Source organism: Homo sapiens, chromosome 1 (assembly GCF_000001405.40).
Source record: "Homo sapiens chromosome 1, GRCh38.p14 Primary Assembly".
NCBI classification, from domain to species: Eukaryota; Metazoa; Chordata; class Mammalia; order Primates; family Hominidae; genus Homo; species Homo sapiens.
In genome coordinates, this window is record NC_000001.11 from 185,857,346 (window position 1) to 185,885,050 (window position 27,705).

The 27,705-nt window shown below is 35.6% G+C and overlaps 1 protein-coding gene across 4 annotated transcripts in view, besides 1 other annotated feature; it reads left to right on the forward strand.

Moving 5' to 3' along the window:
• The window catches only part of HMCN1 (hemicentin 1), a 456,559-nt gene that overhangs the window by 122,955 nt on the left and 305,899 nt on the right, over positions 1 to 27,705 (forward strand). For all 4 annotated transcript variants that reach the window (NM_031935.3, XM_011510038.4, XM_024450118.2 and 1 more), the window contains exons 3-4: positions 7,125 to 7,283; positions 8,396 to 8,518. In NM_031935.3, the coding sequence (NP_114141.2) occupies positions 7,125 to 7,283; positions 8,396 to 8,518 (282 nt within the window). The remainder of the gene's footprint in view (positions 1 to 7,124; positions 7,284 to 8,395; positions 8,519 to 27,705) is intronic.
• Positions 27,039 to 27,239: a silencer, noted in NCBI's record as "peak511 fragment used in MPRA reporter construct". NCBI's record gives its function as "represses an SCP1 promoter by STARR-seq MPRAs in K562 erythroleukemia cells {active_cell/tissue: K562}" and the evidence as "EXISTENCE:reporter gene assay evidence [ECO:0000049][PMID:32103011]".

Consider the following 27,705-nt stretch of genomic DNA (forward strand, 5'->3'; position numbering starts at 1 on the left):
TCTATATTTCAGGGTTCAAATAAAAGCACAGGTTAACAAACTCAGACCCTTTCTAAAATGTATTTAGGGAGCTGTCTAATTCTATGCATTATACAGTTCATCTCCATTATACCTTTCATTTGTGTGTGTGTGTGTGTGTGTGTGCATGTTTCTGTGGTTTTAGGAAATATATTTACATAGCCATGTTGGTTTTATCATGTTGATTATTCATCCTGACTGTATGCCAGGACAGAGAGGGGTGTGGGGGAGAGATCAAACATAGGGGGAGTTAGCTTTATACACTTGTACTTTTAGAAGGTTTAGTTCTGGAATTGTATTACTCGAAATGGGATGGGCTAGGCTTAAGTCAAGCTCAGGCTGAGTATGTTAAGTGTACCTCGAATATGTCAAGATTGCTTTGCAAAATCTTTCACCCATGTACTCACTAGTCATTTATCCATTCATTCATCAAACAACAATGGAACACCTACTAAGTACTTCAAAAAACAGAGATCTAGTAGGAGGAAATATAAATTATAATACATCTTATTGAATACCACAAAAGAAGAATAAACAATATTCTGTAGGTATCTAGAAGAATGGAATTTTCTTCCTCTGATTATACAGTGTCTCTGAAAGCTACTTGCTTATAGTCACAGAAGTTCAAGAAGATAATAAAATGCCTCACAGGAGTTTGCATGAATTTTCAGGCCAGGCATAATTAAGTTCAAATCTCTGCTTTTTCACTTACTAGTTGTGTGACCCTGAGAAAGGATTTTCAGAAGTTAGTACTCCGTCAATAAAACATGTTAAAAGTGATACTTACCTTATCCATTGATGTAAAGAATAAATAACATAGTGTTTGTGACAATACTCTCTCAGCACTTGGCTCAGAGTAGACATTTATTGAATTAACACAGGTAAAGTGTCTTATTACCGAGAAAAGTACTGATTAAATCAAGAAGACCTTCTATAGATTTAAGTTCTTCAGTTGTAAGTTCTTCCATCATAAATGTTTATGGATTATGATTTTACATTTCTTCTATTTGGTATTCAGGTCAAAATGAAACTGCGGCAGACGTTTAAAGGATTTATTTTATTTATTTATTTATTTATTTTTTGAGACGGAGTCTTACTCTGTAGCCCAGGCTGGAGTGCAGTGGCATAATCATGGTTCACTGCAGTCTCCACTTACCCAGAGCCTTCTGAGTAGCTGGGACCACGTGCCAGCTATATGCCTATATGCCACCACACCCAGCTAATTTTTTTTTTTTTTTTTTTTTTTTTTTTTTTTTTTTTTTTTTTTTTTAGAGACGGGGATTTCCTCTGTTGCACAGGCTGGTCTTAAGCTCCTGGGCATAAGAGATCTGCCCTCTTTGGCCTTCCAAACTGCTGAGATTACAGATATGAGCCACCATGCCTGGCCAGCAGTAATTTTTTTTTCTTAAGTTTGGAAATAAAACTTACAAGAGTTTGTTCTTATAGTTTCAGTCACATTTCCATTACTTCCAATTTTTAAATCAGCTGACACAAATCAACCTACAGTCTCTGACTTTGTGAGGCTTATTTATAAAAATGAACAATTTTAGCAATGCTTCTGCAGCCTAGTCCTGTTCTGCCAAAGCTAAACTGAAAGATCAGAAAGTCCGTTGATGATTTGAGAGAAACACTATAAAGAAACCAGTGGGTTAAAGATGTGTGTGTGTGTGTGTGTGTGTGTGTGTGTGTGTGTGTGTGTATGTATACATATATGATAAAGTTTGATATATGTGTGTGTATATATATAATCCTTGTTTATAAACTTTGTGTGTGTGTGTGTGTGTGTGTGTGTGTGTGTATAAGCAAAGGGAATAATTTGTAGATTTTTGGAGTAAGTTGTACCTTGATTCTTGATCCTTAGTAAATTAAAGCAATTTAAATTTTGCCTCTAATAACTTCTGCCAGGAAAGAAAGTTCATGAAAGACTTAATCAAAGCAACAACCTTACAATTAACAGTCTAAAATTAAGTCTACATAAGTCAATCAAATGTATCATTCTAAAGTAGTGCTGTCCAACAAATAATGTGAACTATGTATGTAATTTCAAAAGAAGTTGAAATTAATTTCAATAATCTATTTACTTAACTGAATATATCCAAAATATTTTGATATGTTATCAATATAAAAATTAGCACTGCTTTAGTTTTTTAATTTAAATTTTAATTAAAATAAAACTTAAAAATTCAGTTTCTCATTTTCACTAGCCACATTTCAAGTGCTTAATAGCCACATGAGGCCAGGTAGTGGCTACTGTGTTAGTGCAGAGGTAAAGCATTTCTTCCATAGATCATTTTATTTATTATTATTATTATTATTTTGAAATGGAGTCTCGCTGGGAGTCACCCAGTCTAGAGTGTAGTGGTGCGATCTCGATTCACTGCAACCTCCGCCTCCTGGGTTCAAGCAATTCTCCTGCCTCAGCCTCCTGAGTAGCTGGGACTAGGCACATGTTGCCATGCCTGGCTAATTTTTTTTTTAATTTTTTATTTTAGTAGAGACAGGGCACCATGTTGCCCAGCCTGGTCGCGAACTCCTGAGCTCAGGCAGTCTGTGTGCCTCAGCCTCCCAAAGTGCTGGGATGACAGGTGTGAGCCACTGCACCCAGCCTCATAGATCATTTTAATGGCCACTTGTGATTTAAAATTATTAGAAAACCGAACTGAAATATCAGATAGAGAGCTTTTATAACAAGATAATACTGTATGTTAACTTCTTTTGGAAAAAGAATAAGCTTATTTTTCTTTTCAGGACCTTCTATCCACAATGAGATAAACACATAGCTTTATTAAGATATGAATTATTAGTTAACATTTACTTTTAATTTTCAGTTAGCTAGAAGCAGAAAGGTAATAATTTAAATATACTGTATTATTTTTTGAAGAATTTTACTCCTGAGAACACTTATAATCAATATGATTACAATATAATCTGTGTTTGCAGATTATATTGCAAATGTGAAATTTGGGGCAGAATAGTCATTTTTATTATAAAGACTGCACTGATTTCCATAGCAGGAAAAATATAATTAAGCTGCATAGAGCACTCCTAAAGGATATATAAGCACATCCAGTCTTGGCTTCTGACATGTGTGAGTCAAAGTGTTTCTTTTTTAAACATTTATTTATTTTTTTAAGAGATAGCTTGCTATGTTGCCCAGGCTGGAAGGGAATTCCTGGTTTCAAAGGATCCTCCCACCTCAGCCCCCCAAGTAGCTGGGACAACAGGCATGCGCTACCATGCCTGGCTTAAAATGTTCTCTTTTTACTTGACATTCTCCAATTTTCCTGGCTGCTTTGAGACTTTTTGTTAGTTCTTTCATAAAAGTCAAATAATTCATTTTAGAGTATATGATATTATAAAAGTCCAAGAAATAAAAGGATATTTGTGAAATTCTCTGTGGGGTTTTAGTTGTGTCAGCTCACCAAACTCTTTCCTTTGATTATTAACCAATATTAAGCCTCATATACATAAAGCTCCAATGTTTCACAAAGTGGCTTTTTTTTTCCAGGAAAATAAGGTGGTTCTAATACTTACAGAAAAGGTTGTTGACCATCTTGATTTTATTAATATGTGGTTAAACTGCTTTATTCAAATTTATAGGCTGAAAAATGTTTGTAGTCTTAGAGACCCTATTTCAGTACATGATTTTTTTAGGGCTGCATTCAATTTTAGGTTGAGCTTGAAGTTCCTGGGAGATTCCAATGGGATTAATTCATCTGGAGTCCTTTCAAGGATTCTAGTGGTCTCTACAGTCTACTCCTGGGTAATGTTTCAGGATTCCTAGGGAAGTAGGCATCTATAGGTCCTCTTAGGGCAAATTTATACCCAAGTCAAACGGCTCAGAGAGGATCTCTCACTCAATAACTGGACAAGGTTTATCATTCCTTCTATTCCTAATATGTGCCTTCAGATATTTCTTAGCTGTCCTCATGTTTGGCCCATAGACAGAAAACTTCTCCTAGTGTGTTGGTACACACATGACAATTAGTAAAAGACATTTAATCTCTCCTTAGAATTATACTACCATGGAGTTGTATTGTGTACTTGACCATTCAACAAATGCTTGTAGAATGGATAAATTATATTGTGGTTCACACTCAGGTGCACAGTGTCATGCGCAGTTGAGGAATGTTTTTCTCTAAGCTTCTGAATATACAATAGGAATTTAAATTTTTTTGAGCATCCCAGAATATCCATTACAGATTATACAAAATTGGCTGCAAGTAAAGATTATTTCTATCCAATATACCAAAATTACTAACATGTCTGTCTATTTCCCACTTTCCTATTACATAAATTTTCATTCAAGGTCATTGTTGCACATGATAACCCTCCAAATAACTGTTATGCAAAGGAAATATGTTAAGTACCACTAAAGTGTAAAGCATAGTAGAATACATCTGAAGAGTGAGTAAGCACATTTGACTGGAAACAAAGCTTTAAAGAGGGGAAGGCATATTATCTCAACCATTGTGAGATAATAGTTTAATCTGAAAAATATTTACTCAGTGATTAAGCCAGCACTGTGCTATGAACTGAGGATTCAAGGACTCAGCAAAGCACAGTTCCTTGCCATCAGTGAGCTTATACAATAATGGAAGAATTTAGACATGCATATTTTGTTGAGAAGTGTTTAATGGTAGAGATAGAACAGTAGAAAGACTACTTGAATGAAAATTGTTATGGCATTAAGGTGTGAAGCAAGGGGAATATTAAAAATTCCCTATTTCAATATTAAACATTTATAATATTAAAAATTCTATAAAAAAAGAATCTCAGCTTAAAGGGAGCAATTTGTGGAGAAGGAGCAACAGGAGATAGAAAGATAGAAAGATTATTTGATCCAACACAAGTAGTGAAATATTTTAAGTAGGAACGTGATGTATATACCTCTTTACTGCAGGCAAAATAAAGTTAAGTGGAAGGAAAAGCAGAAAATCAGATAGGAGTTTGTACATGTAATAAAATTAGTGATAAGAAAAGTGACTAGTGGGAAGTGAAGAGAAAGGGAAGGGACAGATTTATGGAAGTCGAATGAATGACCACTGATTAGATGAAAGAAGAAGGAGGAGTCAAAAATGACTCAGGTTTTGAAACCAAATATCTATGCAGATAGCACGGTTAACAAAAATAGGGATGACACAGCAGAAAATATGAGTTCTGTTTTAAATGCACTAAATTGGAGAGGCATATAGAACACCCAGGAATAGAGGTCTAACAAGAAATTGAAAATGTAAAATTAGAACTTGAGAGATAAGTATGGTCAAAAGATACAAATATACTAGTTGTTGAGAGCGGTGTTATTTGTTAAACTAAATGCCTCAAAAATGCATATAAGTGATAGGAGGTAGGAGATAAGTTCTGCAAAAAGAGAAAGGACTGCTAACTCGATAACATTTTGGGGAATCTATGGCTGGTATATTTTCCAAAGTGAAGATCAGGTTACTACATCTTCTAGCCCCATGCAATTAAGAAAGTGACCTAATATTTAATGAGTCTCTCAGTTTTAGAGTCAATTTTTAACAGCTGATGCTCTGTTTCAACCTATTTAACAAATAATGCTCAAAGGCTGTAAGTTTTGATCGGGATCCAGTACAAGAAAAGATTCTCCACTTCATCCAGGCTAGCTACATTGTAAACTATTCTAATACTTGGTTCTTATGACCCTGATTAGATCTATGGTGTTCACGGTATCTGTATCAGAATATGAGACTGTTGGAGCCTGCTGAAAGACCCAATAGGAAAATCAAATAGGATTTCCAGAGTTTAATGATAAAGCCTTACTCCTTTCATGAATAACTATTTTCTTTCTGAGAAAGAGCTCTTACTTGTTGCACTCTGCTGCCATAAAGCCCACATGATCCCAAGCTGCCCTGCTTTTTATGTGATTGCTTATTCTAGGCCCTGACCTCCTTCAGGACAAGGTATTTTAGCTTATTTGTTGTTGGATGCCCAAATCTCAGCAGGGTGTTCAGCAATTATGTATTAATTGCTCAAATTATATTGATCAAAAGTCCATTCCCTTGGCCCTATAGTTATTGCTATCAGTTTGTCTGTTTGTCTATCTACCATTTATAATGGAGAAGTAAAATTTGAAAGAGCACTAATATTTCAACAGCAGTGAAATGGTTGACTAAAGTATGGAATATAGACATAATAGAATGTTATGCCATTATTCAAACCTGTGGTTTTAAACAATGCTGATGACATGGAAACAAACAGGATATAATTCTGAATCTAAAATATAATGTATAAAAGTGTAAATACAGCAAACTCACAATTTCATGTACCAATCCACATAATTATGAAGGAAATAAATGTGACAAGAATTGCTCTGAGGATGGGAACAGTTTTTGTTTAGGAAAACATATTGAGCCTATTCAAGTAGAAAATAAAACACAGAGATTATAGGTTAATAGGAAAAATGAAACAGAGTCAGAGTGAAAAGAATGACAAACAGAATGCATTTTATGTCAGATAGTCAGGGAAAGTTTCTCTGGCAGGTATGAAGTGAGCAGAAGTTTGAAGGAGTATGGAGACATGCCATGCTGGAATGATTTAGTAAAGAGTGTGATGGAGTAGAGAGATCACCTTGATTAGTTCCCAGGTGAGTAGTTAGCCCTAGCCATGGGTCCATAGCCATGAGTGCAAGCAAGTGCTTCACGATTAAGGCAGGCATCTGGCTGCTTCTGCAGATGGGTTAACAGGTATTGTGGTGGGAGCTTATGAACATTCTCTTCTGATTGCTTCTGTCTTCTCAATACAATAAGCAAGGTCATCAAATAAGAATGAGAAAAAGTAAGAGAAGAGGGGGTGTATGAGATCATCGTGTAAGAGAAGGCAGAGTGAATAGACATTTAATTTTATAAATATATAGCTATTATTTTGTGTGTTTTGGGTGAATTTCTAACTTATCCTTAAGTACACATTTTTCTAGTTCATATCACTTTACATATCTTCCATCCCTTCTTGAACAAAGTGTCAAACTGACAGAAAATAAAAAGGAAAACTTGCTCGTTCTAAAACTCCCAAAGCACCTTGTTATAACCAAAATATTCAATTGTTTTTGATGATGACGTAATTGAATTTTTCTCTCCACTCAACAGGGTGGTGGTGATTGCCCAGAAATGAGTATTGGAGCTATAAAAATTGCCTTGGAAATTTCTCTTCCTGGTTCTTTCATCTATGTTTTCACTGATGCTCGGTCCAAAGATTACCGGCTCACCCATGAGGTGCTGCAACTTATCCAACAGAAACAGTCACAAGTGAGTAAGAATCAACCCCAAACGTCTCTGTCTAAATGCAGTATGTAAGAGATTGCCTGTCCTCTTTGACTCTTCCATGTGTGGTCAATAACAATAATTATAACTATCTATCCACATGTATGTTCTCCAATATGTATATGTCATCTGATTTAAACATATTAAACATATATGTGATATTTATACATACCATATGAATGTCTTGGTTTTCAGTATGGAGAAGACATGATTGGGGATTAATTAAGGTACTTGTTATCATCTTTTCCTTATAACTGACAAAACACAGGCCTAACCAAAAAAGGCTTATATTCCAATGTTATCTCCGATGTGGAATCACGCCTGAGTCAGAGTTACTCATTGTATCAGCTATTGCTGCATGACAAACTTTTCAAACACTCAATGGTCTAAAACAATAAGCATTTATTTCTCACATGTTCACAGAGCTCAGTTGATCTAGGCCAGGCTTGCTCACTGGTGTGTCTAGGGAATAGTGTGGGTTTTGCTTATCTAAGCTTGACTGTCAGGAGACCTGGCTTTGCCTCATAGTTGTCTTACCCTCTTTTTGAGACCAGTAAGTTGGTTTAGGCATGTCCTTCTCATGGCCATGGCAGAAACACTTGAGAGCAAATGGAAATACACAAGCCCTCTTGGGTCTCAGCCCAGAACTTGTAGAATGTCATTTTTGCCTCATGCTATTGGCCAAAGGAAGTCACATGGACAAGCTTAGATTCACAGATGACAAAATAAGCTCTACCTCTTTTATAAGAAGAACTCAGAATCTTTTGACTGAGTGATACAGGGAGGGGTGAGGAATTGAGGCCATTCTCTGATCTAGCATAGTCATGGTCTCACTTCTACTTCTACAGCTTTTAGCCTACACTTCTAAAATATAAATCACCATGTTCCTATCTGGGTTCACTATTAAACAGAGTATAAAGTCAATAATTATATAAGCATACACACACACACACACACACACACACACACACACACACACACACACACATTCACATATTCTACTTGCCCAGTAATGTAACACAATAGGTAGTCAATACACATATTTTTTTATTTCTGGAAACCCTTTACACTGTTTCTTTTTTTTTTTTTAATCATAGGTCGTATTTGTTCTGACTGGAGATTGTGATGACAGGACCCATATTGGATATAAAGTCTATGAAGAAATTGCCTCTACAAGTTCTGGTCAAGTGTTCCATCTGGACAAAAAACAAGTTAATGAGGTCAGTTTAATAAAGGGAGTCTACTTTATTACCAGCTGCCTTATCAAAATCAGTTAGGCCAGCCTAATTATGACAGATTTGATTTCAAAAACAATTTTAACCAAAAGGTATAACTCCAAGGCCACAGTTCAATAAAGGCATTGAATAATGTGAAGAAATATAGGTATATTTATTTAATGTTAATTTTTAGATTGTATTACTTATAGCAACAAACTGCTAAATTTAATTGAATTTAACTGTTTAATTTTATTGGAATCAAAAATTTTTGTAGTTGTTCAGTAAGGTCAATTTGTGTTTTTGATGAATAACTTTCATATAGCTATTAAAATGAGGCTAAACTGGTTACTGAAGTAGAATGCGAAAAAGTTAATTATTGAGCAAAATTCTGATGAGGTTTGGTTTCTAAGATTAAAAGTAAAAAACTATGACTAACTAGTAACTATGTAGTTATCAAAAAACTGATAATATTTATAAATTATATTGTAAGAAAATTTAGTATTTTCTTAAAAAGTCCTTTAGATAGGTTTGTCATAATTTTTTTTTTTTTTTTTTTTTTTTTGAGGTGAAGTCTCGCTCTGTCACCTAGGCTGGAGTGCAGTGGCACAATCTCAGCTCACTGCGAGCTCTGCCTCCTGGGTTCACGCCATTCTCCTGCCTCAGCCTCCCGAGTAGCTGGGACTACAGGCGCCCACCACCACGCCCGGCTAATTTTTTTTGTATTTTTAGTAGAGACGGGGTTTCACCATGTTAGCCGGGATGATCTCGATCTCCTGACCTCGTGATCCGCCCGCCTCGGCCTCCCAAAGTGCTGGGATTACAGGCATGAGCCACCGCGTCTGGACCATAATTTCTTCTTTGTCCATTTTGCTGTCTTTCCTTGGCCTCACTCATAATGACCTTTTTTTAAACCTGTTTATGTATTTGACTCTCATTTAAGTTTCTAGGAACATACCAATACAAAGATAAGGGTTTTTTAAAATTTATTTTTATTTTTTGTTTAGTCCTTTTTTTTTTAAGTTCTGGGGTACATGTGCAGGATATGCAGGTTTGTTACATAGGTAAACGTGTGCCATGGCATAATTCATATTTGATTCATGTGGTCACTGTATCTCTACAAGTTCTATTAATTTCATGACAGACTCCTTTGTGTCTTAAATGAAATGGTTCAGTAGTTCTCTTATAGCTAAAGAGTTCTTATTATATCAAGGTGGAACTAATAGGACATTACAAATTTCTAGAGCAAAGAATCTAGCGAAAAATTTTTTTAATCAACATATTGAAATAGATAGATTTATAAAATTAATCTTAAAAATGTATTCTTGGAAGAAACAGTTTTAGAGAGGGTTATGCCTTAGGTTTATATTGTGTGCACTCTAGTGACTCAGAAATTCCTGGGAAGGGTCTGATGACTACACAGGGAGCCCTCAACAGTTGATTTGCCTCAATGTTTGCACGAGAATTTGGGAACCTGGGAAGAAAGGGATTGGGGAACAGTGCAGGAGTCTCTCAGACACTGGGTTCCTTGTCCTATCTCATACACTGTACTTGAACCTAAAGAAGGAAAAACTGCTCATAGAAATTGTCTTCAACCTGGAATTCTGTAAGACTCTAGGGTACAGTGAGCAGCATTAAGTGGGACTTAAGTGAGGAAGAATAGCATTCTCTCTTACATCAGCTTGTATATCACTTGCTTAGAGTTTTATGAGTTTCTGGGTGGGAGGTGGTGGTGGTGTGCAGTGCACAGAGATAGAGTGTTGGGGCCAGTATGCTGAATATGCCATGGCTAGTGGACATGGTCATTCCCAGGAGAAGTATTACAGAAGAGGCAAGAAGACACATGGCTGGCACCTAAGCTTTTGAAAGAATAGTTGCTCAATGGGACCTGTTTGTGAGCAGTCAGACACCACTTAGAGATTCCCAAAACAGGCTGAGCGCAGTGGCTCACGCCTGTAATCACAGCACTTTGGGAGGCCGCAGCAGGTGGATCACAAGGTCAGGAGTTCGAGACCAGCCTGGCCAACATGGTGAAAACCCGTCTCTACTAAAAATACAAAAATTAGTTGGGCATGGTGGCACGTACCCATAGTCCCAGCTACTCGGGAGGCTGAGGCAGGAGAATCACTTGAACCCGGGAGGTGGAGGTTGCAGTGAGCTGAGACCACACCACCGCACTCCAGCCTGGGCAACTGAGTGAGACTCCATCTAAAAAAAAAAAATTCCAAAACAAATTGGGTTAAATTTAAGGAGAACCATAGGACTTTATTAGTAGTGGGTTTCAGAGCCAGAAAAACAACAACAACAACAACAACAAAAGTGTGTCCTGGGAATGTGACTCCATTTATATCCACATACCCAAGGAAAATTGAGTTACATAAAACTGAAATAATATAGTGCCTTAAATGGAGAAACTAAGCCCTATAGAGAAACTATAAGCCCTAGAGCGTTTATTAAATGGCATGTGATATTGTTTCGCTGTGTCTCCCCCCACTGCCCCCCAATCAGTTCTCATTTTACATTGTAGTTCCCATAATCCCCACATGTCATTGGAGGGACCTAATCGGAGGTAATTAGATTATGGGGGCAGTTCCCCCATGCTTTTCTCATGATAGTGAGTGAGCTCTCACAAGATCTGATGGTTTTATAAGGGGCCTTTCCCTGCTTCACTCAGCCCTTCTCTCTCCTGCCACTGTGTGAAGAAGGATGTGTTCACTCCCCCTTCCGTCATGATTATAAGTTTTCTGAGGCCTCCCCAACCATGCAGAACTGTGAGTCAATTAAGCCTCTTTCATTTATTAATTACCCAGTCTTCGGCAATTCTTTATAGCTGCATGAGAAAGCACTAATACAGCATGATATTATACATAATTTTTATATTTCTAATAATTTTTAATAATTCTGACAATTACCAGATAATTTGTAAGAAGAATACTTTATAAAAATTTGATGTAAATTCAGAAAATTTTATAAATATGGATATATTAGAGAAACTTAACCCACTGGCTTGTTGTTAGTGTTTCTCTCCTGGATCATCAACTGATATTCTAATCTTTAAATTTAGCTATTGCAGAATAGCACTAGAGAGAAGCATTGCTAAAGTTGTCCATTTTTATAAACTAGAGTTTGATGCCAACAATAGAGCTGAGGCTTTATTTATCTATCCATCATAGCAATTCTAACCACCTCACCAATTGTTGCAGGAAAGGATGTTTCACTTACTTTGGGCTAATGAGACCAAAGGAATTTTAGCTAGGAGTATTTTGGATTAAGTCAACAATCAAACCCATCCTACTGCTAAACCTCTAGAGTTCAGGAAATTATCTTTTTGTTCAAGCCAATTTGAGTTGAGTATTCAGTTACCTTAAAGTAAATGCATCTTAAATGATAAAACTTGTATATTTCTTTGTGACATGGGATCTGTGAGTCCCAGTTTCCCTGTCTGTAAAATGGAGATAATAGAATTATCCTTTTCAGAAATTTGCTCTGAGGTTAAGTGAGATAATGCACTTAAATGTTCCACACAAGGTCTGGCACAGAGTAGTGCCCAATAAATATTAACTAGTGTTATTATAACACTGGTAGTGTTGGTATTATGCTTTTAAAGTGGGGAAAACTGTGCCATCATGTTTGCTAGAAATTAGATGTCTGATTGTTACTTGGAAATAAATCTGAGTAGAAGAATCCAGGAAGAGGCTGGACAGTTTTCTTTTTTCACTGTGTGTGAAAAAAAAATATTGTGAAGCTCCTACTGGAACTGTACAAGTCAATATATTCCTTAAAGAAAGCTACCACCACAGAAGATTTTATTAATAGGAAGCATTGTGACAGTGTTAAAATTGGATTTGCAAAATTTTTGGCATGTAATTTAGTCATTTCTTTTTTCTCACTGTTCCAAATTATTCTATTACGTAAACATTACGAACTCTAGGGAAAACAGATGCTATACTGGTGTCTTCACATTTAATAGACATAAGAACTTCAAGGAAGCCACACATGCACTGAGTCCTTTCATTTTACTCAAGACTCTTCATCTACTGTTTCTAAAGGAAAGTGTAGTGTTATATTTTACTCTCTTAACCTATTTAATCAGTTTCTTAACCTGGGGGATATATTTTATATAAACTCACTCTTGAGTTAAAGTGAAGTTTTTACTGCGTTCTGTTTTTTTTTTTTTTTAAAAAAAAACAATGATTAAGTAGAAGATCTAGGACTGTTTCATCTTTATTTAACATAAAAGGGAAACCAAAGTGAAGAAATTATTTGGCCAAGCATCAGTGGTCTATAAATCACTGTATGGTATTACATTTTGGAAACACAATTTACAATACCTCTCAAGGATGTCCTTAATTCACCTTTGAATACAGACAAGGAACTAAACTATTGCAGTATTATTCCATTATTTATATGCTAGGTGGGTTGTCAGCTGATTTAATTAATGCTTCCTTTTGGTGTAAGAAAAAGTCCAAGTTGGAAATCTCAAAGTTTCTCACAGATGCTATATCCCTGTGTCAAAGAAGCTAACACAAAAGATCACTGTTATTTAGATAATTCGCTTGTCCTGAGCTTCCCTATCCTTTTTCCCACCTCCGCCAACTCATATCCTGTAACATTCCCTTCCCTCGAAAAAAACTTACCAGCCTGTTGTATTGGTCCGATTCTAATAGATGTTACCATTACAATAAAAACATTTCTGTTTTTATTTTTTAAATTTTTGTGGGTGCATAGTAGGTGTATGTATTTATGGGGTTCATGAGATGTTTTGATACAGGCATGCAATATGAAATAAGCACATTATGGACAGTGGGGTAGCCATCCTCTCAAGCATGTATCTTTGAGTTACAAACAACCCAATTACACTCTTTAAGTTATTTTCAAATGTACAATTAAGCAATAAATAGCATTTCAATAAATAATTACTTCTGTAATTCTCTCTTACAGAGGCAGGGTATCAGTAACTGAAGCTCTATAACAATAGAACCAGGGGAATATGTGCCCAACCCCTTCGTATTTCCTGGTGCCTTTCATTTTCCCAAATCCAACTGGAAGCTAGGGAACCAAGGAGCCCTGTTGAGGTGTTCCATAAAAGTCAGCATCCCTGGCTGCGGTCACGTCTGTAATCCCAGCACTTTGGGAGGCCAAGGTGGGCGGATCATGAGGTCAAGAGATCGAGACCATCCTGATCAACATGGTAAAATCCTGTCTCTACTAAAATACAAAAATTAGCTGGGCATGGTGGCGCATGCCTGTAGTCCCAGCTACTCAGGAGGCTGAGGCAAGAGAATCGCTTGAGGCTGGGAGGCAGAAGTTGCAGTGAGCCAAGATCGTGCCACTGCACTCCAGCCTGGGCGACAGAGAGAGACTCCGTCTCAAAAAAAAAAAAAAAAAAGTCAGCATCCCAGGGTGCAAAGCCAGATGGAAATGATTATTAGAAAATGAAGCTGGAGGGGTAAACAGAAAAGATTCAGCACAAGCAGTATTGTGTGGTAGTTAAGACTAACGCTCTGGGACCATGGCTCATATCCCAGCCATGTGACCTCAGATATTTTCTGTGTGTCAGTTTCCTTATCTGTAAAATGGAGAAAATGATAGTTTCTACCTCATAGTGTTGTTGGGTTTAGAACATATCGATAAATATTAACTGCTATTATTTTTATTTAGTGATACATGCTAGTCAAAATGTTCTAGTGACCGTTTTTGGTTTTCTAATAGGCAGAGGAAAGTTGAGCTTACTAGGTTTTTCAAAGGAAATAAACTGAACCCAGGAAAATAAAGTGACAATTTTGCAACACATCCATGAAAAATTCAAATCCTGGCAATGAAAAGCCTCATAGATTAGAGATTACTGGACTTATTTCTCTTGCTAGTTTTTTCCCTGAGTTCAATACTTAAAAAAAACTGTAAACTTTGCTGGAGTATGAATCTGGCACAGCCTCTTCCCGCTATTTTGGCTAATGGCCATTTAGGACTAGACTTTAGACCATGAGCTTTCTGCATATGGGCTCAATGATGAGACTCTGAAAATTGGGGTTTTGGACAGTTAGTGCTCTAAAATTAGGAATCTGCCATTTTGTTTTTCCCCATTCCTGAGTTTCACTCCAAAAATTATTTCAAAAACAAAACCTTACTGCTGACCTTGAAAATAAGTAGAAACGGGTGTTTCCTCTGAAATTTGAAAATGTATCAGGGACAACTATAATGTTCTAGAGAGCTACAGGAAATGTGTGAAAACAATGTGTAAATGTTTCCACTTATCCCTTCTTTGAATTCACCTGTGGAAAATGGAATGGAGATGTTCAGAGCCGATTCCTTAAAATAAATGTAGGTCTCCACATCCACAAACACAACAGAAAAGGAATGCATACCTGAACTTTAGTTTCAATGGAATGCTTTCTTTCTCTTTTTTTTTGTGCTAAGATTGACATGTTGTCTGTATGAGTATGTGCTAGGAATGCTAATGTTCCAGTCACATAGTTACCTTTTCACTTCCAGGCACCTGGGAGTGCTTATAGGTCAGGAATATGCTTAAATGAAGCCATGTGTACTTTCCATTTGTTTAGATAAAACAAAAAATGAAGTCCTTAATTTATTGCTTAAAAATTATCTTTGTCTGTAGGCTTCTGAGCATTGAACAATTCTCATAATGACATTTAAAGAGTACATAGTACATAATATTTCTCACAAATGTTGGGGGGAGAGGATGGATGGAGATGACTGCTCTCAACAGAATATCATTTAGAAAAAATATACCAAAAGTCAAGCAGAGCTCTCCTGCAGTCTGAAACAGCAGGGGATGAGACCAGATATGGGATGGGAAGTGGGGAATACATGATTTAAAAGGATAAGCCCTGCAAAATGAGAGTGCCTGTCTTTCATTTCATGATTTTGTATATGGGCTCTGGGAACTGTTTGAAGCACTAGTTATAAACTGCAGCAATAGATTCTGTAATGTGCAGTGGGATCATCTCTACACAACAGAACTCATTGCCTGTGAAATGTAAGTTTCACTATGAAAGTATTATCCCATAAGACAATCATGGCATCTGATCCCTAGTATAAAATTCAGAAAACAGAATGGACATCACTCATTAAAACTTCTTCCTAAAATACCAAAAAAGCACAGAAGACCTATATCTAAGGAAAAAGAAGCTTATATAATGCTTCAAGGAATATTTCTTAGAAAAGAAAGAAATGTTACTTAAGGGTAAACACTAGCCAATAAGTTGCATGCTTTCAACAGGACCAAATGAAATAGAAAAAGAAATAAACCTATTTATTTAGCTGACTCTATTTTGATTAGAAGCTAAATAAAATATCAAGTTTGACTATGAGATGTTAGAGATAACTGAATCAGTCAATTACCTGCATTGCTAATTCTGGGTTTGTAAAAATCTTAACTACCAAAAAGTTACTGTGTCAACCTCAAAGTCTTTGAAAAACTCATTAAAAATCCACACTGTCTTGAAAGACAGTACCTATTCTCCTCATTTGGTCTTTATTTTTACTGGAGTTGTGGTGGAAACTAAAGATTTGAATTGAGAAAAATTGTCCCAGATGCTTGATATTTAAAACTGAAACAACTAGTTAGCCTTTGAAATTGCTGACCATGATCTCTTGAAGTTTACCCATTGGGAACTGCAAAGGAACACAAGGGAACATGCAAAAAATCAGCAATGATGAGACAAATAAAATTCTGTTGAGCAGTTTTCACACAGCCTCAACAATTTGGATATTTCCTTTCATATTTTATATATTTAATTTTAAGATATTCCTTTTAAAGCTTTTTTTGTTAAAAAGCACCTGTGATTGAATAATAAGCAACTAACTCTCACAGAAAATAGAAAAATGCAAAAGGTTTGTTATTACATCTTTTCTGCAGAACAAGAATTGCCTGCTGCCCTTACATTTATGTAATTGAGAGGAAAACACAATAGTATTATTTCTTTAATAATGATAATTGAATAATTTGGGCCAAGGTAATTGGCTGTTGTTAATCTCTAGACATAGAAGATCTTATATAATTGTCTAACTTACTTTTCATAATTACCTACCCAGGAACTCCATTACATAATTACTATCTATCTGAAAGAAAAAGTTATAACTTTTGTGCTAAACACAGCAGGTACATATTATTTTAAAGTAGAAAAGCCTTGGCTATTATCTCTAGAAGAAATAATTGTATCAATTAAAGATAATTTAAACCTTTGGAAAAAACATATGAATATTGTTTTTTTTTAAGTAGTTTAAACCATTTAGTATACAAAGTATGAAGAAAATTGAAGGTCTTATTTTAAATATTTCTGTATATTATGAACCAATGGATGGCTTTGAAAACAGTGAGCTTATCTAATGAAGCAGTAAGCAGTTCCATGAAAATATTAAGTTGCAAATGCCATTTAAATACCAAACATATATCATGATTTATCGTTGCTTGCATTTGGTTCAACCTAAAAATATTCGTCAAGGACCATATAGTTTTGGCTTCTGATTCTGCAATAGCAAAGGGGAGATGAAAGAGTTAAGAGTCAAAGTACAGGAAATTTTATTTGAGAAATTTCCTTATGGCCCAGGATAAATAAATGGAAACAGAGTCCATGCTTCATATATTTTCCAGGTTTCCTTATGCATTCCAAGAGTGAATTGACTGTAATAGGGTTATAAAAGCAAAATCTTTTGAGAGATGGTATGAGCTACTTTTGAGAGCTCCCTTGTAATATTTTGGTCATGATTTGGCTTTGTGACAAAAATTACAAATGGCTTTCTCTTTCTTGCTGCAGACCCCAGAAGAAAAATGTACTTTAAAGTCATATACCACATAATTTAAACAGCTTTGGTATAAGTGACTGAATGAAGAGAAAGGAAAAAAAATTCAGAATTCTAGTCATAATTTTAAATAGACACAAGAAATTTATTTACTTTAAAATATGATTGTTGGGTTATTTCATTAAATTCTTTTTATTATGAACTTAGGAAAAAGACACATGATATAGTTAAATCATTTAAAATTTGAATATCAATATCATCTGTAAAAAAGGAGAAAGTCTTCAGGAACTAGTGAATGCATTTGTGAAAATTTGGCCATTATTTATTCAAATAATATTTATGAAATTAACAAATTAATGCAGTAATATTATAATGAATACAATAAATTTAAATAATAAATAAAAACAAGTAAGTAAAATTATTAATTTGAACAATGTTTCTTAAAAGTATATGTCTGGTAAGATTGCAGTTTAAAAATATATTCATTTACATTTATGTATGCATATTTCTAGACAAATGAAAAAGTCATACCTAAAAATGTTGATAATGGCAATCACTGGATAGTATGATTATGGATAATTTTAATATTTTTTCTTTTATGTCTTATCTTATTGTTTACTGTGTAGGTATTGTTTTTAAAATAAAGGAAAATAGTGAAGCCATTTCCACTAACAGAAAAAATTTCAAACACACCTCATATACTCATGTTACAGGTTTATAAGCAAGACTCTATGCTATGAGCTATGAGGATGTAAGAACAAATCAGACATAGATATGATGTCTCAAGATGCCAGATTTTGGAATCTCTGAGGAGAGGGATCAAGTCTCCCCTGTCCAGAAGCAAAATCATGAACCAAACTCTACTTTCTGTTTTGCTTCTTCCTTAAGTACAGGCCTTCTGTTCTTCACTCAATTAGAACTGTTCTCTTCATATATTACAATGACTGTTGCCTCAGTCTTCATTTCCTTGTGTAAAATTTGACACTATGGATCATTTTGCTTTTTTGAAATCCTCTTGCCCTGAGCATCTGTGATATGATGTTCTCCCCTGACAGATCTCTATTCCTTCTCTGCCTCCTTTACTTTACTTTACTTCTCTTATCCCAAATGTATTTCCCAATTTTGGCTAGCCTCTGTACTTACTCTATCTCTTGATATCATGATTCAGTTATTTCTTTTTTTCTGGTCATAACTCCTTTCCTTGAGTCATCTAGTTATCTACTTAAATGCCTCTTTCTCCTGATAGCATTATTTAAAAGAACACCCCTCATTTTCTGTCCTATTCACATTATCCTACTTTATTTTTTAATTACTTTTATGGGGGCACGTGTACAGGTTTGTTACCTGGATATGTTGTGTAATGGTGAGGTTTGGGTTTCTAGTGTACCTAACACCCGAATAGTGAACATATACCCAGTAGGTAATTTTTCAACCCTCGCCACCACCCTCCCCACATTTTGTAGTCCTCAGTGTCTATTATTCCCCTCAGTATGTTCATGTACACCTATTGTTTAGTTCCCACTTGCAAGTGAGAACATGCAGTGTTTGATTTTCTGTTTTTGAGTTATTTCATTTAAGATAATGGCCTCCAGCTCCCTCCACGTTGCTGCAGATGACATGATTTCACTCTTTTTTTATAGCAGAATAGTATTCTATAGTGTATATACACCACATTTTCTTTATTCAGTCATCCATTGATGAACGCTTTGGTTTATTCCATGACTTTTTTCAGTAGTGCTATGATAAACATAGGATTGCAGGTGTCTTTTTTGGGTATAACAATTTTTTTCCTTTGGGTAGATATCCAGTAGTGGGTTTGCTGGGTCAAATGGTAGTACTGTTTTTAGTTCTCTGCAATATTTCTATATTGTTTTCTGTAGAAGTTGTGCTAATTTACATTCCCACAAACAGTGTGTAAGCGTTCTCTTTTCTCTTCATCTTTGCCAACATCTGCTCTTTTTTGACTTTTTAGTAATAGCCATTCTGACTGGTCAGAAATGGGATCTCATTTTGGTTTTCGTTCACATTTCTCTGATGATTAGTGATGATGAACATTTTTTTCATATGTTTGTTGGCCATTTGTATATCTTTGGAGAACTATCTGTTCATATCCTTTGTCCACATTTTAATGTGCCCACTTTTTTTTCTTCTTGTTGAGTTGTTTGAGTTATTTCTAGAATCTGGATGTTAGTCCTTTGTCAGATGTAAAATTTACAAATATTTTCTCCCTTTCTATTGGTTTTCTTGTTTACTCCACTAGTTATTTCTTTTGCTCTGCAGGAGGTATTTTGTTTAAGTCCCATTTATCTATTTTTGGATTTTTACATTTGCTTTTGAGTTCTTAGTCATAAATTCTTTGCCTAGATCAAGGTTTAGAAGAGCTTTTCCTAAGTTTGCTTCTAGAATTTTTATAGTTTCAGGTCTTACATTTAAGTATTTAACCCATCTTGAGTTGATTTTTGTATATTGTAAGAGATACAAAGGGTCTAATTTCATTTTTCTGCATATGGCTATCCAATTTTCCCAGGACTATTACTAAATATTTATTTATTTAATAACAGTCCTGGAAAGAGCATTTATTAAATAGAGTATCCTCTCTCCATTGTATATTTTTGTTGACTTTGTTGAAGATCAGTTGGCTGGGAGTATGTGGCTTAATTTCTGGATTCTCCATTCTATTTCATTGATCTATGTGTCTTTCTTTTTTTTTTTTTTTTTTTTTTTTTTTTTTACCAGTACCATGCTCGCCTTGTTGTATAATTTGAAGTCAGGTAATGTGATGCCTCTAGTTTTGTTCTTTTTGTTTAGGATTACTTTGGCTATAGGGCTCTTTTTTGGTTCAATATTAATTTCAGGATTTTTTTTCTAATTCTGTGAAAAACAACATTGGTAGTTAGATAGAAATTACATTGAATCTGCATATTGCTCTGGGCATTATGGGCATTTTAACAATATTGATTCTTCTAATCCACGAGCACAGGATGATTTTTGATTTGTTTATGTCATCTATAATTTCTTTCATCAGTGTTTGGTAATTCTTCTTGTAGAAATATTTCACCTCCTTGGTTAAATATATTCTTAGGTATTTTACTCTTTTTGTATGGCTATTTTTTTCCTTTTTTTTGACTTTTATTTTAGGTTCAGAGGTACATGTGCAGGTTTGTATAAGCAAATTTGTGTCACAGGGTTTTGGTATACAGATTATTTTGTCACCTAGGTACTAAACATAGTATCTGATAGTTTTTTTTCCTAATCCTCTCCCTGCTCACTCCCTCCTCCCTCAAGTAGGCCCTAGTGTCTGTTGTTCCTCTCTTTGTCCCCATTGGTTCTCATTATTTAGCTCCCACTTATAAGTCAGAACATTCAGTATTTGTTTTTCTGTTGAATGGCTGTTGTAAATGAGATTGCATTCTTCATTTGGTTCTCAGCTTTAATGTTATTGATGAATAGAAATGCTACTGATTTTTGTACATTGATTTCATATTCTGAAATCTTGAAACTTCACTGAAGTTGCTTATCAAGTCTAGGAGTCTTTAGAGTTTTCTAGGTATAAGATTATGTGATCAGCAAACAGACGTAATTTCACTTCTTTTCTAATTTGGATGCTTTTCATTTTTTAATCTTCACTGATTGCTCTGGCTAGGACTTTCAGTACTATGTTGAATAGGAGTGGTGAGTGGGCATCCTTATCTTGTTCCAGTTCTTAGTGCGAATGCTTTCAACTTTCCCCCATTCAGTATGATGTTACCTGTGGATCTGTTGCATATGGCTTTTGTTATTTTGAGGTATGTTCCTTTGATGCCTAGTTTGTTGAGGGCTTTTACCATGAAGGGATTTAGGGTTTTGTCAAATGCTTTTTCTGCATCTGTGAGATGATCACATGGTTTTTGTTTTTAATTCTGTTTGTTTATGTATTTAGTGATTTGTGGATGTTGAACCACCCTTGCATCCCTGGAATAAGACCCACCTGATTGTGATGTATTATCTTTTTGGTGTGCTGGTAGATTTGATTTGCTAATATTTTGTAGAGGATTTTGGGGTCTATATTCAACACCATTATCGACTTCATTTTTACAGTACTTCTCTCTATCTAATATTATATTACATATCCTTTGTCTTTGCCTAAAACAGTGTTTGACATTTGGCATGTACTCAGTTAATAGTTATTAACTGAATGTTTTGAATGAATGGATCTTACTGCTTTCCTTTTTACTCTGTGCGGATGATGTCCAAGTCTTCAGCCCTGACTGCTTCTTCAGCCATCATCCTATGTTCAGACTGTCCTTTGGTCATCTTGATCTGACTGTTCTCCCAACACCTGTAAGATAGAAGCTCCTCATTGGACATGTTCTTCTTTAATACTCCTCTTTGCTCTTGATATTAGCACACTTCTTGCAGTTATCCAGGCTCAAGTGGCCTGAGTCATCCTCTCTTTGTTTGCTGTCCACATTTAGTTAGTTGGTAAAATGCTTTCCATTCTATTTTCATAATTGCCTTCCCAGTCAACCAATCCCTTCCTTGCCTAGTATCTTGCTTAGTCTCTGACCATATGGCCTTTTGTTTTGCTTGAGACAGGGTCTTACTCTGTTGCACAGGCTAGAGTGCAGTGTTGTGATCACTGCTCACTGCAGCCTCGACCTTCCAGGCCCAAGCAATTCTCCCACCTCAGCCTCCTGAGTAGTTAGGATTACAGGTGTGCACCACCATGCCCAGCTAATTTTTGATTTTTTTTGTAGAGAGGGGGTCTTTCTATGTTGCCCAGGCTGGTTTCAAACTCTTGGGTTCAAGCAATCCTTCCACCTTGGCCTCCCATATTGTTGGGATTAGAGGTGTGAATCACCTTGCCTGACTCATGTGATCTTTTGACTGTCTCTTTACCATTATCTTATTTATTTATATTTTTACTATTAAGTCACTCATTCACTCATTTATTTATTTATTCATTCCATAACATTGTTGAGGCCTACTTACTATGTGTTAGACTTTAAGGATTCAATATTGAGCAAAAGTAGATTAGGGCAGGTTCTTATGGAGCAAAAGTGTTTTAGAGGAGCATCTGAGTAAAGAGGCTGGAGGATTTGCAGATTGTTGTGAGAAAGTAAGACGTCTGGAGCAAACCCAGTTGATGGCAAGTTCATTGGTTGGCCTTGGGAATGTGTGGGCGAAATGGAGCAGTGAGGAGGGTTACAAGAGTTGAGGAGGTCATTGAGAGGTCAGCGAGTTGGATAGGCCATCTATCTGAATGTGGAATTCACACTGTAGTGACAGTAAGACTTGCTATGGAGAGAAAGTGAGCCAGGTAACAAAATCTTCAATAAATGAGGAAATAGTGGTGAGGCAGCAATAAAGAGAGATGGTACAAGTCTCAAAGGAGCAGAGCTGTATCCATTGTGAAGCAGGCAGGAGTGGGGAATGAAAAGGCTGCCCTGGGTTCAATCTCTAAGATATATGGGGTGCAGGATAATGAATAACTTTCATCAAATAGAGTTGTTGGAGATGAGACTAGCCTAGATGAGGGATATATTTTCCTTGGGGTTAGGAAGTATCTTGAGTTTCCAGTAAAGATTTGGCATAAGGAGTCCAACATTGGAATGGACATTTTGGAAGTCACGGTGAAGACTTTGGTCTAGAAGAATCCATAAAAGCTCAGATTGATGGAAAAAAAGCATAGAACATAAAGCAAAAGTACAAAAAGGAGATTGATAATTGCAGGTAATTCCATACTAGGGGATGGCCAAATTTAATGTAGATGTGAATCATGGTAGGTCCAGTTATAATGTCTTTTATTTGTCTGTTTGTTTTAACTTTCACTGATATATCATGCTTTTTCCTCTGATACTTTGAATGGGCTCTTCCTTAATCCTGGAAAACTTTCCAGCCTCTGTTGCAATAGCCAACCACCAACTAAATTTGAGAAAGTTGCCTGACCTTTGTCCTTCTCTCTTCATATCATCATGTTGTATAATAATAACAATGCATTTGCTGTTCCAGGCTGTAAACTCCACAAGAGAAAGACCTGCTTCTGTCTTTAATTTTTAATATTTCTGCTGCCTACCAGAGTGCCAGGCATATAGTAGATTTCTAGATACATAATATTTGTTGAATGAATGTTTGAAGGAATGAAATAGGGGAATGAAGTTGGGATTTGGACCAGAAGAGTCTGGAGTAAAATCTCAGCTCTACTGCTATGTGTTAGTTATAATAACCCCCATGTAAATGGAAGAAGAAAGGAGTTGTCTTTCTGATAGCTTTATCATGTGCAGGGTGGCCTTGTGTCCAAATATAATGACATCCACCCCTCGAGGGAGGGAGCGCGCAGGTGAGCATGTGCAGGAGCCAGAGCGAGTGCTTTTGGGCACCAGCAGGAGCAAAATCTTTGCGGCAGCATCCAGCCAGTGGTGTCTGCGACTCCCAAAGTCCCAGAAGGCATGTTACACTGCTCTTTTAGCTCTGCTGTTGACAGATGGCTTGAATGTTAACAGCTCAGTGGGCCCTATGCCATTTTGCATGAGGTGGCTGCCTCTCTGCCAGTGAGGGCAAAGGACCAGTGTGACAGCCTTTCATATTTGCACTCATGGCTCCAGAGCTCTTGTTTGGCATCCAGGAAAAATGAAGTTGCATGAACGAAATGAAGGATGGTAAATGTGGGGGATTTTATTGCTGGTGAAAGTAGCTCTCAATGGGAAGGGGAGCAGAAAAGGGGATGGAGTAGGAAGGCAATCTTCCCCTGAAGTCCAGCCATCTCTGGTCAAATTCTTCTCCAAAGTTACACTGTCAAGCTGTCCCTCTAAAGTCAAGCTGCTGCTCTCTGACGTCCAGGCATAGTCCCCAGTATCCAGCTTCTTCTTCTCTCTGCCAGCTGAGTCTGGGGTCTTTATAGGCACAGGACGGGGTAGGGTGGAGCCATGGGTGGTTTAGGAAAGGACAACATTCCAGTGGGAAAACAGGGATATAAGTTCTCACTTTGGGCTGTGGTTTCAGGCTTTTTGGCTTGGGATTTTTGCTGGGGACCTACCCTTTTCTGCCTAGAATTTCTCTGCCTCCTGCCCCTATCACAGTGTCCATCATTTTTATTAGAAATGTAGAACAAGACATAATGCTGAACATATGAATTTAGACAAAGTCTGTTATGAATTCAGTCTGCAATATTAAACAGAATAAAGTTCATTTTCAGGTGAAGCTTCAAAAGTAAGCTCAGTAGAAATAGCCAGTTTTTATAAAATAAAAACTCATTTGTACTCACATCCAAACTTGTTCTGAATATTTTTGCAGCTTCAAAAGTATTTTGAGAAGTCTCTTAGTGTTTTCTCTTTTTGGATTTTCCCTGTACTTCCTCTTTTAGATGGGGCCTGGAAAGTTGAAGTTCTGAATTTCATAAGATATTTTTTTCTTTTAGAAATGTCTACCCTAAACAGATGTAAAAAGGACTAACATCCAAATGGAAAACTATTCATTTCCTATTTGAAGATCTATCAGAGTTAATGACTTTTTTTGAGAAAATTACATTTATTTTTGTTTTAGGAGATTAGTATATAAGAGTTATTTTAAAGGTCACATAAACTTATGGGGCTAGCTGCATTGACCATAGTAGACTTTACAGATACTCATTGATTTATATGCAGTTATGGAATGAAGCAATGCTAATGAAACTCTCATGGAGCATTCACAGCTTATTGTTGCCTTCCTGATAGAATATTGAGGAAATTAATGTGTTGTCAAAGAAATGAATGTTTTTTTTTTTTTCAGTTTTAATGTTATTCTTTGATTTTGCAGCTAAGTGGTTTTAAACAGAGCTCTACAGAGTTTGTTTAGGGTAGATCTTGGAACAGTTTGGCTTTTACCTGTTTTACATTTCTTTTCTGTGTACCATTTGATTTGACAAAAGTATCCTGTTTTTTTAAAAAAGTTTGAAAAACATTGATATGGGTAGTTGCCACAAAAAAATGAAATTGTTTGGAATTCATTTATGTAAAGCTGTAAGCCTGGAAGTCACCATTTTCCCACTTCAGAAATTATAATATAAAGAATGATAAAAATAATACTTAGCTTTTATGATGGAAATAGCAAGTGAAGTATATTTTATGAATTTTTTTCATCTGATGCCATCACCTTGGGCTTTCAACCATGAGAAATAATTATTTATAATGTATTCAACTCTTCAAAGATTATAAGAAGACAATTTTTGCTCATATTTGACAAAAATCAAGGCCTAAAAATGTATACTTTATTTATAGCTGGTGAGGGAGAGCATTTACAAAGATGGCAAAAGGTAGAGTCCTCCATCATAGCTGACTCTTGAATTCTTGTGCCTACGTGAATCTATCTTTTCTTTCATCATACTGTCTTATTTCTCTGATCTCTATTATAGTGCCAGATTGTGAGCTCCTAAGGGCAGGGAGGACAAGGGTTTTGCTTTAAATGCTTGTAGTAATTTACCCTAAAGTAACGTTCAATTACTATGCTTTTGAATAATGAAAAGAATGAGTGAGTGAATACAATATATACATATATATGTGTTTGTGTGTCTTTCACTTCATTATGAACACAAAGAAAGCATGCTTATGACATTTATCTTTGTATTCTTGTTGATATAAATCAGATTTCAATATATGCTAAAATACTCACAAAATACTTTCTACCAGTATTATTTGGCTGCATGAACTAAAATGCAAAATGCATTCATATTAAGTGTGCATTTTGACAAATGTATATGCTTATGTATTCCACTACAATTATGATACAGAACATTTCAACCACCCTTAAAACTTCCCTTATGCCCCCTTTCACTCACTTCTGCTCCCTGTCATTCAGGCTGTTGACAACTGATTTGTTTTCCTTCAGTTGATTGGTTTAGTCTTTTAAAAAATTTCATATAAATGGAAATTTTTGGTCTAGATTTTTAAATTGAGTATCATGTTTTTGAAATTTACCCAAGTTATTGTGTGTATCATTAGTTGGTTCCATTTTACTTAGCGCATCTGATTTTATGGATATACCACAATTTGTTTATACCACAATTTGTTTGTTGTTGGATATTGGAATTGTTTCTAGTGCTTATTTATTTTGGATAAAGCTCCTATGAACATTGCTGTATGGTTCCTTGTGCATTTTCAATTTCTAAAATTTAGTCATTCTAATGTATTTTAATTTCACTGTGGTTTTAATTTGGATTCCCCTCATAATTAATGTTGTTAGTTGCTAGTTCTATCATTTCTGTCACTTGAGGGTTTGTTAATCAATTAATAGATATAGGTCATGATTTTTTTTTTTTTTTTTTTTTTTTTTGCTTTTTAGTATGTCTAGTGATTTTGGATTGTAGACTAGATATTAGTTATTGTTGAGTATTGGATTTTGTTGTGTTCATTTAAAAATCATTGGACTTTATATGACAGGGAGTGGGTTACTTGTAGATTTGGTTGATCCTTTGAGGCTTTTTAGAAAGTTCTTATAGAATGAGTTTTAAAAAATACCTTTATTCCATGGATAATTTAGTTCTACTTATAAGATGTGGCCCTTTTGTGGCCTCCTCTAATTTCACCATGTATTCAATGAGGTCTCATTATTTCAATGAGGCTGAAAAGAACTCATGTAATTACTGGTCCTGTGTGAACTCTAGGAATTTTTAACTTATTTATCTCATGTAATTTTTCCTTTGTAGAAAGTGGTTCTCTCTTAACCTCATGGGGCTTACCTTTTGCATGCACAGATTGTTATTTAGACAAAGAATCAAAAAGCTCCTTATGCAGATATCTGGACGCTCTTGTCTTCATAGCTCCCTTTTATCTATAATTCTGCTCTTAAAAATCTAACTGCTTCAGCTTCCCCTAACTCAGATTTCTGTCTTTTTAACTCAATTATATTTCCAGGCTGGAAATTGCCTCCAGCTAGAAATCCTGAACTCATCTCACTTTTTTGTTATCTCTCAAGGGTAACAATCCTATTCTCTCTCTTATGTCTAAAAAAAGTTACTTTCTATATTTTGCCTAATGGCTTTAGTTATTTGTAGGAGGGTAGTTTCTAACTTGGCAGTCCCTCATGAAACAAAATTGATTTGAATGTGTCTGAAACAGGTTACTAAGTCAATTTACCTGTTTGGGAAAGGTGATCACACTTTGTGAGGAATATTTTATAGAGGACCCATGGGGGACTGAAGGCGAAAAGTGCAAAGAGCATGATATCTCAAAATCAGAGCAGTTGTACTTTATTACGTTATATATTGATTATTCTGAAAAAATGGCTTAAAGAATGGCATTGATCGTATCAAAGGATTGAACATTATTGATTTTGGAGACAAAAATATGATTGTTTTGTATAAACTGGTAAAATAGTATAGTTACAAATAACAGAAGACGTATACTCTTAAAATGTTATCAAGTTGAGCATTAATAATTAAAAAGAAAAATTACATTAATATATCTTTTGGAAAGGTT